The 21,849-nt window shown below is 39.6% G+C and overlaps 1 protein-coding gene across 25 annotated transcripts in view; it reads right to left on the reverse strand.

Annotated features, from left to right (window-relative positions):
- CFAP20DC (CFAP20 domain containing) overlaps positions 1 to 21,849 on the reverse strand; it is a 333,853-nt gene that overhangs the window by 34,742 nt on the left and 277,262 nt on the right. For 22 of the 25 annotated variants that reach the window (XR_001740051.3, XR_007095648.1, XR_001740054.3 and 19 more), the window contains one exon: positions 2,855 to 2,949. Coding sequence is in view for 17 of the 25 variants with exons in the window: in NM_198463.4 (NP_940865.1) it covers positions 2,855 to 2,949 (95 nt within the window). In the remaining 8 variants the exon portion in view is untranslated. Of the gene's footprint in view, positions 1 to 2,788; positions 2,950 to 21,849 lie in introns of those variants that run through there. The other 3 variants (XR_940389.3, XR_940388.3, NM_001351532.2) reach the window with 1 other exon arrangement.

Raw genomic sequence — 21,849 nt, forward strand, 5'->3', positions numbered from 1 at the left:
TCAAAGTTCAATACTCTCATAATTAAATTTTAGAAATATACCAAATATACCAAAAAAATTGGAATGGGGGGAAAATTGAAAGTCAGATTTCAATGAATTGCTCTACTTTTTTCCCCCACGCTTGTAATAAAAAAAAGGACGAGTTAAAGAGTATTTCTCAACCTCCTTTCCTCCCTTTATTCCTTCTCTTCTCCTTTCTAATGAGAACATAGAGAATCTAATATATGCTGGAATTTGCACAGGGCACCAAGGATCCAGGAGTGAGCAAACTGACAGTCTCCTAAAAACTCAGAGGCTACTTAGGAGGAAAGACAATAAACAAGTAGACAAATCAAGATTTAGAAACTGTTAAAAGGCATGCAGATTATGTTAGAAGGTGAAGTGAGAGAACACAGTGAGTGGCAGACTGATCTACTTAGGTAAGACTGTCTGGGAAGGCCTGTAAGAAGATAAACAACATGCAAATACCCAGGCCCGGCAGTTCCATATCCAACGATCCTACCCTTCATTCAGCTGTTCACTCCCTTGGCCTTGCCTTAGATCTGGTCAACTGCGGCTCCCTGTCATTTCTAACAAGCATGGGTGGGAGGAGAGGGGGCCGGCTGAGGGCTGACAGGTGACCAGAGGTATCTCTCTCTTTTTTAAAGAACTTAGTCACTGAGCCCTTGAGATATTTTAATTAATGCTTTTCCTGTAGATCAGAAACTCTTAATGGAAAAATAATATTTCAACTCCTGGTTTTATATATACATATATTTTTAGTAGGTAATCTACTTACCCAGTTCAAAATCCACAAAGGATAAAAATATAATGGCTGGGCTCTGGGGCCAGGCTGCTTGGGTTCAAATCCTAACTTTGTGACTCAGTAGTTGTGGGACCTTGGGCAAGTCACTTGAGAACTTTGTGTCTCAGTTTCCTCAGCTGTAACACACACACACACACACACACACACAAAATTTCCTCCTGGTGGTGGTGTGAGGGCTAAATGTAATGACTTGGTGTCTGGCATAAAGTAAGTGCTAAATGAATGGTGTCGTGCAACAAGAACCCAGGAAGGGTTCCAGACTGCTCACAACCATACTTCCCTTCCCCTTCTGATGATATAAACTGGAAACTTGAGCCCATAATTTTTCTTTGACACTTTAGCAGAACAGATGGAAACACTATCTCAGCATACTGGTTAAGTATGGACTGTCTTATGCTGCCTAAAACTATGCAATTAACATGCCATTAACCAAATAGGAAACACTGTTTTTTGATGGTGTTAATTAACTACAAACCACTCAAGCATATCAGAAAAGGGGAAGATGAGTAAATAGAAAATGCTTGTTTTTGGAGGCATTAATCAACTACAAACCACCCAAGCATATAAGAAAAGGGCCAGGGGACAGCTGATAAAAATCCAGGGTGACAGGCAGAAGGGATGCTTGATCTGGATAACACTGGCCAGCACATTTCTACAATGTGCTGTAGAATGGCCAGCACACTTCTACAATGGAAGTTCTGTTTAGCTTCAACATAACTGAGCTCCTGCTGTCAGAACCGGGCTTGGCAATGGTGACTTTAAGACATCCTTCCAGCTGTTTCTTGCTAATATATACCTTGGGTGCCTTTGCTCAAGGACCACGCTCTCAGTTCCTGTGGCTTATTTAGGACACCTAACATAACACATTATTTGTTCCCTCACAGCAAGGTCTCCTCCTGACAGCCAAGATTCTATTTTTCTGTCATAAGTAATTATAAATGCACACCTCTAAAAAGATTCCCAATTTGAGGGGCATAATCTATTTTAGATAATAAATCACAGAGACATCTCCATCCCTTGGGCGGCCAAAACGTACAACTCAGATGTATGGGCTCTCACTCTGAATTCTCCATACCTAAAGAAAAATGCGATGCTCTACTTTTTTCCCTGGGGCAGTTAGGAAAAAAAACAAAACCTGGCACTTTTGTTGGAGCAATTTATATTGGTTTCACTCCCACTTTTTTTAAAGCTTCAGATATAACATTTCTATCTTCAAAATTCCACCCAGAAAACTGTCTGAGAGAGTCCCACTCTGAGGTTATTTGTCACTCCAATTATGCACTTGAGATTACCCCATGCCTCTGCCATCTCAACTCCTCAGTTTTCACCAGAGATTCTCTTATGTTCCTCTACCACGCACACCTGACAGTCAAGTTCCCTGCTCACAACCAGAAACTAATGGTTCATCTTTATGGCTCATGCCAACCAAACGAACACCTGGCAAATTTTCATTGCTGGTTCCTTCTGATTTTTATCTTACTAATACCTATTGTAGCTACGTGACAACTTCTGCTTTAATGCAAAGGTTGTATCTTTGCATTCATGGAAACAGGTATCTGAGTGATGTTGAAATATCGTGTCTGCTGTATAATAATGCCAACAGCTGGTATTTGGTAGGCACTATTCTAAGTGCTTCATATACAGCACCTCATTGAATCTTCACAAGGAATAATCGGGGAGGCACTAACTATTATTCGTGTTATTTTATAGATGTAGTAATCAAAATTCATAAAGGTCACACAGTGGGAACTGGTAGTGCTGAAATTCAGATGAAGGTCAATTTGACATCCAAACCATATTCTTATACCTTAAACTGTATTTTGCCCTGGTATTAACCTTTAGAAGAACAAGGGTAGTTTCTCTCATCTTCTTTTTAGTTGTAAAGAACCCATTATTCTAAAAAATGAGGCTCAGGTTACCTCATTTAGGGTGTGTAAGACTAAGTGATCAACATTTAATAAAAACAGTGGCATCTCAAAGTGATGGATTCTCTCTATTTATAGTAAATTATTTTTATTTTCTTATGCATATCGTTTTTCATAGTCCCACCTTGAACACTCAAACTTTCACAGGAATCTGGACGCTGCTCAGCCGGCTGTTGACTGGGAGGAACGATTGGTGGGCTCAACATATTTAACCAGTCCCTAAAAAGAAAACAAAGTGAATGAGCATGTCTGGAATTCCATATATAGATTTTAGGTTTCCCATGGATTTTCAGTTCCTTGGGGCTTCCAAAAAGAAACACTTTTTTTCCTCCTTCATATTTCAGAAAGACAGATGTCCAGATATCAATATCCAGTTTTGTAAATTGGTTAATATGGAGTCAATCACTTAACTAGCCAGTTTGAGAAATACTTCAACTAAATGAATATTCCACTCAAAAGTTTATTATTGTTGTTATTAAATTACAGCAGAGTTCTTTTCACATAAGAAATTATTTCAATAACTCAGAGGAAACGTAGCTGAGATGAAGCTCCTTATGAGCTTTGGGTAAGAAAGCGTGACAAAGTCACATGCCACATGTCATGGATGGTCACACTCCACAAGGTGACTCAGAACTGAAGTCAGTCTTGGAGCTGCCATGGACCCCAGCAGTGGTGGGAGTCAGTCTCTCTTAACTCGGGGCTTTTGAGCAGTGAAGGCAAAGGAAGGGGGAGTGAGGGCATTTCCCCATCTCTTTACTTTCCTTCCTACTGCACTCTTCCCCAGTCTCTTGCTTCCTCTCGTAGATACCTGGGGGGTAGAATTCAAGCTGGTGACATCCAGAAGGCTTGAGTCACTGCATATTCTACTTTAAGCCCTTCTCATCTCTAAACTTACCACTGAGCTTCACTAGTGGTAAGGAGCAGGCAGGAGGATGTAAAAGATTTTCCAATGTGAATTCTATTTCTTGCACTGCTATTAGTGCCCGTTATCATTTACCTTATTCTTCTCAATAGAAGTATGTCTTTATAACTAAATAATTTCTTTCTAAATTTCTGTACTTCCTACGGTATTAATCTACAATGGGAGACAGTTCTAGACAACAGCTAAGAGCACTGGCTCTGCAGGCCAGTTCCAGCTCCGTGCTTCCTACAGTAAGAACTTGGCCACGTCACTTAGCATTGCTAAGATTCATGTGTGAAAAGGAGATAATAACAAAAGAGTTGAGTGTTAGGATTAAACAGAAACAAATGGAAGAAAAACATTTGGTGTGAATATGGGTACAGAATTAGCACTCAATAAATTTCAGCTTTGACCACTATCATCTTCATTATCAATGAAGATCATGGTGTGGACTTACCTACAATGATAAATAAACCAAGGTAGAAATGGACTTTGTTGGAACTAAACCGGTAAAGGATGGTAGAATGATTAACAGTCTATACAACAGAGATTTTCCTTACAAACTATTTGCTTTTCCAGCATAAAAAGCATATTAATGTCAAAATTACCTAATTCCTACTTATAATATTTTACGATACTTTCAGTCACTGCTCACCACAGCTATCACTACATTGTGGCTGGTGAAATATGCAAGGTGAGCATGCTGTGTAATTGAATTTCATAATAACACATTAAGGGCATCAGAAAGGATTTGTCACAGACTTCCAAGCTAATGGGGCATTTCTGATAAGCACTGTTTATTTAGGCTACTTAATTATAGCAGACCAAAAACTTCCTGCACTATAGGAAATTACAAGGTCATATACAAATTACCAGCGCAGTGACCTCATTACTCAATAAGGGTGATGAAGAACAAGGATGAACAGGAGAAAATAATGTAATCACATCATGACACCCCCAGCTACAAATCAGAAACTATATAATCACAGTAGGAGCTACCCCAGTGGGGAAAGTGTAGGTGGGAGTTGTGTGAATGTTACGAAATGTAAGACACTCACTTCTTAGGTCAATAATTTGATCAATGTTTTTCCTTTTCAGCACTAGCTATGAAAAATACAGGGCTCTTCTTTTTGTGATTAAAAAAATTTTAGATTTATAGAAAAGTTGCAAGAAGAGTATAAAGAACTACTGTATATCCTTCACCCAGTTTCCCCACCTTTAACATTTTATCATATTTGCTCTCTATCTCTTAATCTATGTATCTACTGACCTAACTATATATCTATCTAAACAGGAATCAGCAAACTATGGCCCATGGGCCAAGTCTGGCCCACTGCCTGTTTATGTCTAGCTTGCAAACTAAGAATGGTTTTTACATTTTTAAATGGTTAAAAAAATTAAAATAATGTTTCATGACAGATGAAAATTATATAAAATTCGAAATTCAGTGTCCATAAATAAAAATGTATGGGAATACAGCCATGCTCATTTGCTTACATTTTGTCTATGGCTGCTTTTGTGCTACAATGGCAGAGTTAAGTAATTTATTATCTGCTCCTTTACTGAAAACATCTGATGATCCCTGACCTCTGTAACTGTGCACTCACATTGGTTCCTCCAATACTAATCCAACACCACAGGTTCATTCTCATCTTTCTTCTTTCCGTATTTGTAACCCCCCTCTGACAGTGAGGAAACTGGCCCTCAGTATCCTCAAGATATTTACCTACTTCCTGAATTATGGAAGTTACCGAAAGTAGCTTCAGAATTCCCAAGCAAAACAAACAAGAAACACTTACCCTAAACCTACTCTCTCAAGTTCTCAATTTGCTTACAGATATTTTTCTTCTCTGGTTAAAATACTATATTCAAAACTGACTTCGGTTCTTTTTTTCCCCATTTTCAATGTGAGTATATTAGTCATTCGAAATACAACGAAAGTCATCTGCTTCCTTTTGTGTTACATTTTAGGCTTTTTTCTCCTTTCTTGTTGATTTTTATTACTTTTGTTGTTGTTGTGGATTACATACAACATTAACAATCAAAAGTCAAAACTACAGAAGGGCACATTTGGGGTAAGAGTCACATCCTCCTATCTCTTCCTGTTTGTTCCCATCCCCTCATAACTTCTACTCTATTCCTACCCTCACCTCTAGAGGTAATAAATTTCATTAGTTCTGGTGTTGCCTTTCTGTGTTTCATTTTGCAAAAACTGAACAGATACATGTCTGTTTTTTATTCCCTTTCTTAAGCAAAAGGTAGCATATTATAATACTCCTTTGTACTTTTATCTTTTCAGCTTATAATTTATCCTGGAAATCATTCCATACCAGTTCATGGAGAGCTTCCTCATCCTTTTTTTACAGCAGCATAATACGTTACCCTATGGAGGTACTATCATTCATTTCACCCTCTTCTATGTTTGAGCATGTTTTCAATGTTTTGCAATGATTGCAATGAACACTTAAATGAATAACCTTGGGTATGTTTATTTTTGTATACTTAGAGGTAAATCCTGAAAAGGTAAATTTCTAAAAGTGGGATTCCCAGAACAAAAGATAAATGTATACTTGTCTTTGTTAGATATTGGCAAATTCTCTTCACAAGGGTTGTACCTGTCTTCATTCTCACCAGCAATGTATGAGAATGCTGATTTCCCGAGAGCAACTTTAGAGGAATATGTTGTGAATATTTTAATGCTTTCTGATATGAGAGGTGAGAACTGATACTTTAAAGCAGGCTTGATTTGAATTTGTTCTCATTATACGTGGAGTTGACTGTATTTTCATATATTTAAGGGCATGTATGTAATACACATGTGTACATACATACACACACACACATATATATATGCATGTGCCATATATATGATTGTTCACATCTTTTGCCCTTTCTTCTATCAGATTTTTTATCTTTCCCTCACTTTATAGTTTGTCTTTGTTTATGGTGGTTTTTCTTTGTGCCATACAAAAGGTTTTATTTTTATGTAGTCAAAGGTATCAGCCATTTAAAAAAAATTGTCTCTGTATTTTGGGTCATTTTTATAAAGCCTTTCCCTACAACCAAGTTCTGTGGAAATGCACCCATGTTTTCTTCCATTTACTTAAATGGATTCATTTTTCACAATTAGATTTCTGGTCCATTTTTAGTTTATTCTGGTATATGGTGTGAGTTTGTTCTGGTATAAGGTATATCTAATTTTACCTCTTTAAAATAACCATAGAGTTATTTTGACAAATAATGTTATTTTAACACAGATTTAGAAGATTTTATACAATTAAGAAATTTTTAATCAAAGCAACTAACTCATTTGTTTAGCTTTTTACTAAGTAAGCATTTACAAAGTATAATGTAAAAAGAAAGGTTTCTATTTTAACTAAAATATAAAAAACTTTGGGCTAAACAAAATCAACCAGGACTTTTCTTGCAGGACTTTTCAGAGCTTTGAAAACACTGTGAGTATCCCAAGAGGAGGCTGGAGTATGCAGCATTGCCCAAATTTATGTATCTAGAACTGTTACATCTTTTGGGACCACAGAACACACCTTGGGAAATGATGCTCCAAGTTATACAATTTCCCCACTCTGGTGGCATTTTGTTTGTTTGTTTTGTTTTTTATTTTACTTTATGTATGTTTAATAATTTTATTTTTAAGCAGAAATGTGCAGTCCAGCATCTGTATCTTACATGTTTACATTTTTATATGTGATATTTAATGCTGGCCCATTGTCTTGATCCTTGATCAACTCCTTTAAACCTCCATGCTTTCCCCTACATAAGCAGCAAACATTCAAGGAATGGGGAGTTCTAGCTGAGGCTCCTTCACCACATGCCAGTCTTAGCTTTAGTTCTGAACCATTTCGTGGGTTGGCTTCTTACCCAGACACCTGTGCTTCAGAATCTACTCCTGCTTGCTGTTCCACCATTTCCATACTTGCCCCTTGGACTTGATACTCTGGTTGGTTTCCTCAGCTCTGACTATAATCCTTATTTATTTATTTATTTATTATACTTTAAGTTTTAGGGTACATGTGCACAACGTGCAGGTTTGTTACATATGTACACATGTGCCATGTTGGTGTGCTGCACCCATTAACTCGTCATTTAGCATTAGGTATATCTCCTAATGCTATCCCTCCCCCTTCCCCTCACCCACAACAGGCCCCAGTGTGTGATTTTTCCCTTCCTGTGTCCGTGTGTTCTCATTGTTCAATTCCCACCTATGAGGGAGAACATGCGGTGTTTGGTTTTTTGACCTTGCGATAGTTTGCTGAGAATGATGGTTTCCAGCTTCATCCATGTCCCTACAAAGGACAAGAACTCATCCTTTTTTATGGCTGCATAGTATTCCATGGTGTATATGTGCCACATTTTCTTAATCCAGTCTATCATTGTTGGACATTTGGGTTGGTTCCAAGTCTTTGCTATTGTGAATAGTGCTGCAATAAACATACATGTGCATGTGTCTTTATAGCAGCATAATTTATAGTCCTTTGGGTATATACCCAGTAATGGGATGGTTGGGTCAAATGGTATTTCTAGTTCTAGATCCCTGAGGAATCGCCACACTGACTTCCACAATGGTTGAACTAGTTTACAGTCCCACCAACAGTGTAAAAGTGTTCCTATTTCTCCACATCCTCTCCAGCACCTGTTGTTTCCTGACTTTTTAAGGATTGCCATTCTAACTGGTGTGAGATGGTATCTCATTGTGGTTTTGATTTGCATTTCTCTGATGGCCAGTGATGGTGAGCATTTTTTCATATGTCTTTTGGCTGCATAAATGTCTTCTTTTGAGAAGTGTCTGTTCATATCCTTCACCCACTTGTTGATGGGGTTGTTTTTTTCTTGTAAATTTGTTTGAGTTCATTGTAGATTCTGGATATTAGCCCTTTGTCAGATGAGTAGATTGCAAAAATTTTCTCCCATTTTGTAGGTTGCCTGTTCACTCTGATGGAAGTTTCTTTTGCTGTGCAGAAGCTCTTCAGTTTAATTAGATCCCATTTGTCAATTTTGGCTTTTGTTGCCACTGATTTTGGTGTTTTAGACATGAAGTCCTTGCCCATGCCTATGTCCTGGATGGTATTGCCTAGGTTTTCTTCTAGGGTTTTTATGGTTTTAGGTCTAACGTTTAAGTCTTTAACCCATCTTGAATTAATTTTTGTACAAGGTGCAAGGAAGGGATCCAATTTCAGCTTTCTACATATGGCTAGCCAGTTTTCCCAGCACCATTTCTTAAATAGGTAATCCTTTCCCCATTGCTTGTTTTTCCCAGGTTTATCAAAGATCAGATGGTTGTAGATATGCGGCATTATTTCTGAGGGCTCTGTTCTGTTCCATTGATCTATATCTCTGTTTTGGTACCAGTACCATGCTGTTTTGGTTACTGTAGCCTTGTAGTATAGTTTGAAGTCAGGTAGCATGATGCCTCCAGCTTTGTTCTTTTGGCTTAGGATTGACTTGGCAATGCGGGCTCCTTTTTGGTTTCATATGAACTTTAAAGTAGTTCTTTCCAATTCTGTGAAGAAAGTCATTGGTAGCTTGATGGGGATGGCACTGAATCTATAAATTACCTTGGGCAGTATGGCCATTTTCACATACTGATTCTTCCTACCCATGAGCATGCAATGTTCTTCTATTTCTTTGTATCCTCTTTTGTTTTGTTGAGCAGTGGTTTGTAGTTCTCCTTGAAGAGGTCCTTCACATCCCTTGTAAGTTGGATTCCTAGGTATTTTCTTCTCTTTGAAGCAATTGTGAATGGGAGTTCACTCATGATTTTGCTCTCTGTTTGTCTGTTATTGGTGTATAAGAATGCTTGTGATTTTTGCACATCGATTTTGTATCCTGAGACTTTGCTGAAGTTGCCTATCAGCTTAAGGAGATTTTGGGCTGAGATGATGGGGTTTTCTAGATATACAATCATGTCATCTGCAAACAGGGACAATTTGACTTCCTCTTTTCCTAATTGAATACCCTTTATTTCCTTCTCCTGCCTGATTGCCCTGGCCAGAACTTCCAACACTATGTTGAATAGGAGTGGTGAGAGAGGGCATCCCTGTCTTGGGCCAGTTTTCAAAGGGAATGCTTCCAGTTTTTGCCCATTCAGTATGATATTGGCTGTGGGATTGTCATAAATAGCTCTTATTATTTTGAGATACATCCCAGCAATACCTAATTTATTGAGAGTTTTTAGCATGAAGGGTTGTTGAATTTTGTCAAAGGACTTTTCTGCATCTATTGAGATAATCATGTGGTTTTTGTCATTGGTTCTGTTTACATGCTGGATTACATTTATTTATTTGCGTATGTTGAACCAGCCTTGCATCCCAGGGATGAAGCCCACTTGATCATGGTGGATAAGCTTTTTGATGTGTTGCTGGATTTGCTTTGCCAGTATTTTATTGAGGATTTTTGCATCGATGTTCATCAGGGATATTGGTCTAAGATGCTCTTTTTTTGTTGTGTCTCTGCCAGGCTTTGGTATCAGGATGATGCTGGCCTCATAAAATGAGTTAGGGAGGATTCCCTCTTTTTCTATTGATTGGAATAGTTTCAGAAGGAATGGTAGCAGCTCCTCCTTGTACCTCTGGTACAATTCAGCTGTGAATCCATCTGGTTCTGGACTTTTTTTGGTTGGTAAGCTATTAATTATTGCCTCAATTTCAGAGCCTGTCATTGGTCTATTCAGAGATTCAACTTCTTCCTGGTTTAGTCTTGGGAGGGTGTATGTGTCGAGGAATTTATCCATTTCTTCTAGATTTTCTAGTTTATTTGTGTAGAGGTGTTTATAGTATTCTCTGATGGTAGTTTGTATTTCTGTGGGATTGGTGGTGATATCCCCTTTATCATTTTTTATTGCACCTATTTGATTCTTCTCTGTTTTCTTCTTTATTAGTCTTGCTAGTGGTCTATCAATTTTGTTGATCTTCTCAAAAAACCAGCTCCTGGATTCATTGATTTTTTTGAAGGGTTTTTTGTGTCTCTATTTCCTTCAGTTCTGCTCTGATCTTCATTATTTCTTGCCTTCTGCTAGCTTTTGAATGTGTTTGCTCTTGCTTCTCTAGTTCTTTTAATTGTGATGTTAGGGTGTCAATTTTAGATCTTTCTTGCTTTCTCTTGTGGGCATTTAGTGCTATAAATTTCCGTCTACACACTGCTTTGAATGTGTCCCAGAGATTCTGGTATGTTGTGTCTTTGTTCTCTTTGGTTTCAAAGAACATCTTTATTCCTGCCTTCATGTTGTTATGTATGCAGTAGTCATTCAGGAGCAGGTTGTTCAGTTTCCATGTAGTTGAGCGGTTTTGAGTGAGTTTCTTAATCCTGAGTTCTAGTTTGATTGCACTGTGGTCTGAGAGACAGTTTGTTATAATTTCTGTTCTTTTACATTTGCTGAGGAGTGCTTTACTTCCAACTATGTGGTCAATTTTGGAATAGGTGTGGTGTGGTGCTGAAAAGAATGTATATTCTGTTGATTTGGGGTGGAGAGTTCTGTAGATGTCTATTAGGTCTGCTTGGTGCAGAGCTGAGTTCAATTCCTGGATATGCTTGTTAACTTTCTGTCTCATGGATCTGTCTAATGTTGACAGTGGGGTGTTAAAGTCTCCCATTATTATTGTGTGGGAGTCTAAGTCTCTTTGTAGGTCTCTAAGGACTTGCTTTATGAATCTGGGTGCTCCTGTATTGGGTGCATATATATTTAGGATAGTTAGCTCTTCTTATTGAATTGATCCCTTTACCATTATGTAATGGCCTTCTTTGTCTCTTCTGATCTTTGTTGGTTTAAAGTCTGTTTTATCAGGGATGAGGATTGCAACCCCCGCATTTTTTTGTTTTCCATTTGCTTGGTAGATCTCCCTCCATCCTTTTATTTTGAGCCTGTGTGTGTCTCTGCACATGAGATGGGTTTCCTGAATACAGCACACTGATGGGTCTTGACTCTTTATCCAATTTGCCAGTCTGTGTCTTTTAATTGGAGCATTTAGCCCATTTACATTTAAGGTTAATATTGTTATGTGTGAATTTGATCCTGTCATTATGATGTTAGCTGATTATTTTGCTCGTTAGTTGATGCAGTTTCTTCCTAGCCTTGACGGTCTTTACAATTTGTCATGTTTTTGCCGTGGCTGGTACTGGTTGTTCCTTTCCATGTTTAGTGCTTCCTTCAGGAGCTCTTTTAGGGCAGACCTGGTGGTGACAAAATCTCTCAGCATTTGCTTGTCTGTAAAGGATTTTATTTCTCCTTCACTTATGAAGCTTAGTTTGGCTGGATATGAAATTCTGGGTTGAAAATTATTTTCTTTAATAATGTTGAATATTGGCCCCCACTCTCTTCTGGCTTGTAGAGTTTCTGCGGAGAAATCAGCTGTTAGTCTGATGGGCTTCCCTTTGTGGCTAACCTGACCTTTCTCTCTGGCTGCCCTTAACATTTTTTCCTTCATTTCAACTTTGGTGAATCTGACAATGATGTGTCTTGGAGTTGCTCTTCTGGAGGAGTATCTTTGTGGCGTTCTCTGTATTTCCTGAATCTGAATGTTGGCCTGCCTTGCTAGATTGGGGAAGTTCTCCTGGATAATATCCTGCAGAGTGTTTTCCAACTTGGTTCCATTCTCCCCATCACTTTCAGGTACACCAATCAGACGTAGATTTGGTCTTTTCACATAGTCCCATATTTCTTGGAGGCTTTCTTCATTTCTTTTTATTCTTTTTTCTCTAAACTTTTCTTGTCGCTTCATTTCATTCATTTGATCTTCCATCACTGACACCCTTTCTTCCAGTTGATCGAATCGGCTACTGAGGCTTGTGTATTCATCACGTAGTTCTTGTGCCTTGGTTTTCAGCTCCATCAGGTCCTTTAAGGACTTCTCTGCATTGGTTATTCTAGTTAGCCATTCGTCTAATTTTTTTTCAAGGTTTTTAACTTCTTTGCCATGGGTTTGAACTTCCTCCTTTAGCTCAGAGTAGTTTGATTGTCTGAAGCCTTCTTTTCTCAACTCGTCAAAGTCATTCTCCGTCCAGCTTTGTTCCGTTGCTGGTGAGAAGCTGCATTCCTTTAGAGGAGGAGAGGCACTCTGATTTTTAGAGTTTCCAGTTTTTCTGTTCTGTTTTTTCCCCATCTTTGTGGTTTTATCTACCTTTGGTCTTTGATGATGGTGATGTACAGATGAGGTTTTGGTGTGGATGTCCTTTCTGTTTGTTAGTTTTCCTTGTAACAGTCAGGACCCTCAGCTGCAGGTCTGTTGGAGTTTGCTGGAGGTGCACTCCAGACCCTGTTTGCCTGGGTATCAGCAGCGGAGGCTGCAGAACAGTGGATATTGGTGAACAGCAAATGTTGCTGCCTGATAGTTCCTCTGGAAGTTTTATCTCAGAGGCATACCTGGCCATGTGAGGTGTCAGTCTGCCCCTACTCGGGGGTTCCTCCCAGTTAGGCTACTCAGGGGTCAGGGACCCACTTGAGGCAGTTTGTTGGTTCTCAGATCTCAAGCTGCATGCTGGGAGAACCACTACTCTCTTCAAAGCTGTCAGACAGGGACATTTAAGTCTCCAGAGGTTTCTGCTGCCTTTTGTTTGGCTATGCCCTGCCCCCCAGAGGTGGAGTCTACAGAGACAGGCAGGCCTCCGTGAGCTGCAGTGGGCTCCACCCAGTTTGAGCTTCCCAGCTGCTTTGTTTACCTACTCTAGCCTCAGCAATGGAGGGCGCCCCTCCTCCAGCCTTGCTGCCACCTTGTAGTTTGATCTCAGACTGCTGTGCTAGCAATAAGCGAGGCTCCGTTGGTGTAGGATCCTCCGAGCCAGGCGTGGGATATAATCTCCTGGTGTGCCGTTTGCTAAGACTGTTGGAAAAGCGCAGTATTAGGGTGGGAGTGACCTGATCTTCCAGGTGCCATCTGTCACCCCTTTCTTTGACTAGGAAAGGGAATTCCCTGACCCCTTGCGCTTCCCAGGTGAGGCGATGCCTCGCCCTGCTTCAGCTCACGGTCGGTGTACTGCACCCACTGTCCGATACTCCTCAGTGAGATGAACCCGGTACCTCAGTTGGAAATGCAGAAATCACCCGTCTTCTGCATCGCTCACACTGGGAGCTGTAGACTGGAGCTGTTCCTATTCGGCCATCTTGGCTCCACCCGACTATAATCCTTTTATGCCATGGACTGACTCTATCTCCCTGTAATGAAAAGCCTCCATTTCCTTGGGTAGATAAACATCCTTTCAGTCAGGCCTTCTCTCTGAGCACATGCAGGAAGGAGCCTCCTCTTCCTCCTTCCTCTTGAGGACTCAGGTATGTCTCCCACCCTTACCCTCCTCTTGAAACTGGAGGGAGAGGGCTACTGGGCACACCTGCACATATTGAGTACTCTGCAAGAAGAGGTGCTGTATTCAAGAGTCGAGACCATGGATTTGTATTAAATACACAAGTAAAAATATTGAACAGATGAAGAATAAATACTATCTTGTGAATTTTTATAATGAACAGATTGATTTAATACTAAAATCTTGGCCGTAAAGGAATACCACATTGTTTTCATTCAACCTGCATGCTAGACAGTGGACATTACCTGAGTAGGGCTGAATCAGTTACCTATAGAACTGAAGACAATGTCCTCAGTTAAGACAGACTATGGCTTCAGTTCCTTTGTCTAAAAACAAGATTGTGTTTACGAGACAATTTTATATACATTTATTTTATTAATGTGCTTCCTATAAGTATACTGTATGTGTATACACACATATATACATCTACACACACACACACGCACACACATATACACATAACATTATATAAGAGCAAGTTAGCTTAATCATCTCTTTATGTATACAGTAAGCATTTACTGAACTGCTGTGTGCCAGGCTGTGTGGGGATTTCAGGATAAATTATTCTTGGTTCCTACACTTAAAGAGTCATGGTCTGATGGAGAACACATTCTAGCCAAAAAAAAAAAAAAAAACCAAAAAAAAAAAAAAAAACAAACAGAAACACAAAACATGAGCTGTACCCATCCATTTGTTCCTGTGAAGGAATTTACTTGCAAAAGAGCTATCTACAATCTTGTATACATTTAAGTAATTATTTGGCGTAGTCACTATTTCAGAAATCTAAAACATGGCAATAATTATTATATATCTTTCAATTACAGCATTGAGCTACCTGCTATCATAAAGCTCTGGGTCATTTTCACTGGGGATCTTATATTAGGAATTTAACAATTTGCAGCAATGTCTATCCATACTTAATGATATTTATCATTTAGTATCAGTGTACATTTCTTATTCACTGAAAGAAATTTAGATTTTAAAAATCTTTTATGGCCAGAGAACAGACTGGGGAGAGGACTAGGAGATAGCTCATTTTTGGGGACAATTCATAGATTCTTATTAAAAGCTGGTGAAAACTGTTTCCCAAAAATATATACATAAATATCAAATTTTACTTCCAATTTCAGGAGGTCAGAGATAGTCTAAAGCCCATATGTGAACCTCTGGGCTCCAAATAAAGAACTTATGCATCATGGGATATCATGGAAATGGTATTTCAAGTAGTGAAAAATCCATGCTTTGCAAAGTTTTTCTGTAAAGGGCCAGATAGAAAATGTGTTAGTTTTATGAGCCATAAAGGTCTCTGTCACAACTGTTTAACTCTGCTGTTGTACTGCAAAAACAGGCATAAACAATAGGTTTACGAATGGGCATGGCTGGATTCTAATAAAGCCTTATTTACAAAAACAGGCAGTGGGTAGGATTTGGGCCTACAGGCTATATAGTTCAATGACCCATGCCTTAGTGAAAGGAACTGTGAAGTAGACAATGCTTGAGGTTCTTATGAAAATTCCTGCCAATTTTTCTCCTAAATAGCTTTGAATCTACCTTTCTCACCATCTCCCCTTCCACCACCAAGGTCTAAGCAACTATCTTGGCTTGTGTCATCTGTAGCAAAAGCTCTTACTTGATCTCCTCATATTCACTCATCCTGGCTTCATTTCTCCTCTGTTCTCCACACTATAGCCAAAATTACTTGATAATATGTCCATCTCTTGTTTCAAAGTGTCTTCCCAGTGTCATCGGGAAGCCATCATCCTCAGGAGAAAGACCAGGACCATTACCTTAGCCTTTGAGGCTTTCCATAGACTAGTCTCTACGTATTTTTCCAACCTCATGTGGTACAATGTTCCATCACACTCCCTATGCTCTGGCCACGCTGGTCTTCTCTGTTCCTAGAGTGTGCCATGCTCCCTACCATCACTGGGCCTTTGCCCAGGCTGTGCCCCCTTGTCTAGACCATGCTTTCCTCCCCTCTTTCTACTGTCCCTTGGCCTGGTGAATTCATACCCAGCCTTTGTATTTTGGCTAAAGCATCACACTCTTGGGAAATCTTCGCTGACATCCCCTCTTCAATCTAGTCGAGCTCCTTTCACTCCTTCTTTTAGAGCAACTGTGATCTTCTCGTTAAGAGCTCTCGTCTCAGCTCATAATTACAACCTCGTTTGTTTGATCATTTGATGAATGTCGCAACCCCATTAGACTCTAGCTCCTAGTAGAGTTCCTGGCACACAGTAGCTGCTCCCTCAATATTTGCCAAATGTATGACTATTGAAATAGTGTCTTTCTTAGCCAAGAATACTGAGTGGTACTTGATATTGAAAGTCTCCATAACAATAAATAATGCTGCTGTTGTAACCCACTCTGCATTCTTCTTTCATCTTGCTCTTTCTCCCCTTGCTAAAAGCATGCTTTTGTTTCCTTACCATGTATTCAATATACACACACAGGTCAGGGACACACACCTGCTTCTTTATAGCCAAGAAAGAAAAATTTAATTTTCTACCTCAGGAAGCAGAATGTTTATTCAGAAACATATTTACTAGCTTAAAAAAACTAAGAAAATTTGTGTTCCTTTTTTAAAAAACTAAAACATATAGAAAGTGCTCTCAATAGCATTTCTTCATAGAATTCATCTCCCACTTCAAGAAGGGATCTTAAAATATAAGTTGGGAACTCTTTTGCATATCTCTTTTTTTCCTATGTTTAAAACTTTCTGTAGAGACAGGGTCTTGCTATGTTTCCCAGCCTGGACTCTAACTCCTAGCTTCAAGCGATTCTCCCACCTCAGCCTCCCAAAGTGTTGGGATTACAGGTGTGGACCACCATGCCCTCTTTCATATATCTCTGGACTTGAATAAGTATTAAGATGCTGTTGTTTAATTTTTGTTTGTTTTCCTCAGAAGTCTCTAACCAGATTCTTAATATTGAAGAATAACCCCCATTGATGTTCTGAAACCCTTCCACAACATTCCCACCAAGTGTTTATCTAATCTATGCTTGATTACCATCAGAAACTGTCTACCTACTGCTTTCAAATATCACATTTCATCTTCAAGTAGTTTTGGCTGTTCAACAGTTTTTCCTCATGTTGAGGTAAAATCCATTTTCCTTTTACTTGTATGCGTTTCTCCTACCCTTACCCCTTATGGCTAAGGAATAATTCTAATCTTTTTTCAAGATACAGTAGGAGAGAGCTAAGGGACTGTTCAAGACTCCCTCCTCCCCCTTCTCCTTGGAATAGCCACCTCTAAGCACATGGCTTTCTGGAGCAGATTGGTCCAGAGGTGGACACCCAACCTAATAAGGGCCAGCTGCTGTGCTTCCCTGGAACTTCTCAAACTGGATCTGAAAAAGAGAGATTCTCACAATGAAGATGGGAGCTAAACAAAGTGAAATTCAGATGCCACTGGTGATCCCATTTCCTGTCACATGGAGGAAGCCACTCTGAAGAGAGAATGAGGAAGTTTAAAATCTGGATTCTAGGGGAATGAAACAGTATTGGCACCACTGAATTAATTGGAAAACTGGGAAGAGGAAACCAGTTTGGGATGATGGAAGTGCTTGGTTTAACACGAGCGGGAATCTGAGGTCTTGAAAGTTTCTCCATGTGGCGATGTGCTGGAAATATTTAGGGATACCTTACTAAGTCTTACACTTAGCTCTTGAATATGTGTCTCCAAACCCATTGCCATTATCCTAGTCTATGTTTCTAGCACCGCTCCCATGCTCTTCCTCTAGCCAATCTGGTCTCTATATAATCCAAACCAGAGTAAGCTTTTCAAAATTTGTTTTTACGGTAAAATCCCAAATTACCACATTGGCTTAAAGCCTTGACTAGCCTGGTTCTATTGCCCCAGCATTTTTTGTATCTTTCCCTTACAGTCACCACCACACTCCCCTCAGGCTTCACATGAAAGCCACATCCGTAGTCTCTCTTCTTACAATGGCCTAGTTGACTCTCTTTATCCTCAAGTCTTCAGCTTTCAGCTCAAATGTTACTTTAGAGGAGCCTTGCTTGAGTTCTAAGTCTACCACAAGTTCTCCCAGTCAATATCCCAGCAGGAAACACTTGGCATACTCACATTAGGAGGAACTGGGGAGAATTTGAGGGAGGGCTTATAAAAAGGTAAGAACAGGCAGGGGATCCAAATGGAACCGTATGAATACCAGGGCTGCTGCCACCCTTAGACCTTAAGGGAAAAGGAAGGGGCAGTGGCCAGACCCAGAAAGCAAAAGGTGTGGAGAGAGGGCCTCCTTGATAGGAGCTGTGACCCTGGGCCGAATTTTGCAGTAAGCCCGAGTTAGTCCTACAGGGAGGGAGATGGGGAAGAGTGCCCCTGACTTCCTTCTCCCTCCTCCTCTGATCTTCATTGGCTGAGTGCCATCAGAAGCCAGAGGACAAGGAAGTCCATTGATGTAGTTTATGTCTATCAGCCTCTCTGGACAGAGAGCAGCATGAAGGGTGGATATAGCAGGGCTGAGAGAAGATGTCCGGAAAGATTCCATGGTTACTACAGATCAGTCATCTCAGTGTGTAATGACCTGCCCATTTGTGTGACTGAATCGTGTCTGGCCATCATGTCTGACTTCTTCACATATTGAATTCTCAATAAATGTTTGCTGAATGAATGCTCTCAGGAGGGCCAGGGCTAAAAGAGAAAGACATATAGATGAGAGCAAAAAGATGGGAAAATGGATGAGTTCTCTGAGGAAGAACTTGTAAGGAGAAGGTCAGGAGAGCATGCTCTGAGAGTGGCGGGAGGAATAACAGGAGCTGAAAAGGCAGCTAGTTGAGAATGACATGAGAATTACGCTTGCCAGACATGTCTCCCCTCCTAAAAGTGCTCCCAGAGGATGTTTACATTATCGTGACATCTGGAATAGGATCACATCTCTACCATAGCAAAAGGCGGGAAACACGATGCATAAACAACTACTACTGTGTTTTCATCTCACATCAATCCAGGTTTATATGGAGGTATGCAATAAACACTCATACAAATGGGAAATCATACTCTTTCTTCTGGTTTCTACAAAATCACCTCTCCTGCCTATGTCTTTATTAGATAAATCCACAAAACAGAGAGGATCCAGTTTCCCACAAGTGCTCAGTGCTCTAAGAAACCACAAGCACCATCTTCTCTATACTCTATTAAATATACTTTATATGTTCTCTGCAGAATATCTTTCTATCTTTCCTGTATGCCAGTACTTTCCCTCAGGTTAAGAAAATATTAATGACAAAGCATCTTGGGACTATTTTCTAGACACTGAACTATTACATATGTAGATAATTCAACTCTGGAGGCACAAATCCAGACATCAGGCATTGAACTCAAGAATACGTGAACAGTAATATCCCATCTACTTGAGATAATATGAAAGAAAGCTGACCCTTTCCTTTCCTTCTATAGACTGTTATCATCATAGTTGCTTTATAATTTTACACTTAGTAGATGTTTATCGAGCCCCTGTGCTGTTGCAGACTTTATGCGGGGTACTGAGGAGTAAGACATGGTTCCCGCCTTTGAGGAATTTGGACTACTGGGAACAGGTCACTAGACCAATATTTATAAGAGAGTGAAGTAAGTGTTAGATAGAGGTAAGCCCAAGGAACCTCTTATAGTCAGGAGAATAGTTCAGGGAAGGCTTTCTAGCAAAAGTCATGAAAGGGTTATTCCTGAAGGATGAGAATGAGGCAGCCAGATAGTGAAGAGATGGAAGAATATTCTAGAAGGAACAGCATGAAGTACAGTAGAAAGGTGTGAGAGAGACCTTGGGGTACTCCCAGCAACTGTAGTCAGTTGTTGAAGAAGCAGGATGCTTAGATGGCAAACTAAGGAGTTCTTACCTTATTATGAAGGCGCTGGGGACCTACTGAAGGATTTTAAGATAGAAGAATCTTGGATTTGCATTTGAGAAAGCTCACAGTGGCAGTGGTGGGAGACTGAATTAGTGGAGAATAAGATAGGGACCAGGAAGGTCAGTTAGGTGCTTGTTTTTGTGTAATTTAGGCAAAATAGAATAGTGTTATTGTGGGAATTTAGTACATAGGTGTTTGAAATCATTCTGCAATAAAGACACATGCCCACGTATGTTTATCGCGGCACTATTCACAATAGCAAAGACTTGGAACCAACCCAAATGTCCAACAATGATAGACTGGATTAAGAAAATGTGGCACATATACACCATGGAATACTATGCAGCCATAAAAAAGCATGAGTTCATGTCCTTTGCAGGGACATGGATGAAGCTGGAAACTGTCATTCTCAGCAAACTATCACAAGATCACGAACCAAACACTGCGTGTTCTCACTCATAAGTGGGAGTTGAATAATGAGAACACATGGACACAGGGAGGGGAACATCACACACTGGGGCCTGTTGAGGGGTGGGGGACTAGGGGAGGGATAACATTAGGAGAAATACCTAATGTAGGTGATGGGTTGATGGCTGCAGCAAACCACCATGGCATGTGTATACCTATGTAACAAACCTGCATATTCTGCACATGTAACCCAGAACTTAAAGTATAATAAAAAACAAAAAAAAACAAGCAAAAAACAAAAACAAACAAAAAAGAAACATAGAGCCTTCCCGTTAACAATATCCATTTCCCAGTGTGTCAAAATAACGTTATAAGGGGATCGGAACAAGCTACCCCCAAATATGCCATATTAGCATATTGAGTTTGAGCTAAAGACCATTGGGAAACAGTAGATGCAAGAAGAGCTCTCTGACCTTCTACTTTGTCCTTAAAAACAGGGCATAAATTTTCCCTGAGAAGGACATTCTTCCTGTACCAGGAGAGGAGAACATTCTTATCACCAGAGATGGGGAGGTAACACTGAGATCAATCTCTACGAACAAATCTTACTAAAACAATCCCTGTCTTCCATTAGTTTTCCCCATACATTTCTTAATCACATCCCCACAATTTGCTGCCCCTAGCCCAAACCCCATTTCCTGTTGTCTTGTCACATCTCCACGACTTATCTCTCATCGTTATAATGGTATATAGTCTTCTGGGTCTAGCCCTTCTTTGAGTCTTAATTTCTTTTCTATGAAGACTTCCATGCACATGTAAAAATTAAAATATTAACATCAAGTAAAATTTGCGTGCTTTTCTCCTGTTAATTTTTCTTTTGTTAGTTTGACTCATGGACCCCAGCAACAGAAACTAAGAAGGCAGAGAAAGTCTTTCCTCCCCTTCACAATGCACAGAAATTTCCAGAGAAATTTTGTTTCTTGTTTTTGTCATTCTGTGAGAGCGAGGATCTTAAGTGATGGCAGTTTGCCTCAAGGGTCTTACACTCTAATAAGGAATATTTTAGATTATTTTTATGTGTCTCATAGTTATTGAGTGTCTTTGTGCCCAACACTGTGTTGGATATGTAAGGATACTGAACAATTACAAGGCATGGTCCCAGAAAAGTAGGCACATATGTGAATGTGCAGGTCAAAAGAAAAGAAATATAAATGTCCCCAAAATACAGAAAAATGCTTGAGCTTGTATATAATTATAGAAATACAAATTAAAATAATGATATACTATTGATACATAGTAGCTTGGCAAAAGTTCTAACATTTGATAAAATAGGGTAAAATTAAGGAGATGGGACACTAGCAGCATATACTGCCAGAGTGTAAATTGGTGAACAGTTTGGTAATATCTTTCAAAATTACCTTTTGACCAAGTAATTCCACTGCTAGAAATTAGCTGTAAACACATACTTGCCCTACCTCATAAATATATGCAAATGAAGATGTTTATTACAGCACTGTCTACAGCAACAAAGAGCTGGAAACCACCTAGATAAATGTCCATTACCAGGGAACTGGCTGAATAAATTATGGTACACCCAAACAATGAAATAATATCTAGCAGCCAAAGTAGAATG

The sequence above is a fragment of the Homo sapiens genome, chromosome 3 (genome assembly GCF_000001405.40).
Source record: "Homo sapiens chromosome 3, GRCh38.p14 Primary Assembly".
Lineage (NCBI taxonomy): Eukaryota > Metazoa > Chordata > Mammalia > Primates > Hominidae > Homo > Homo sapiens.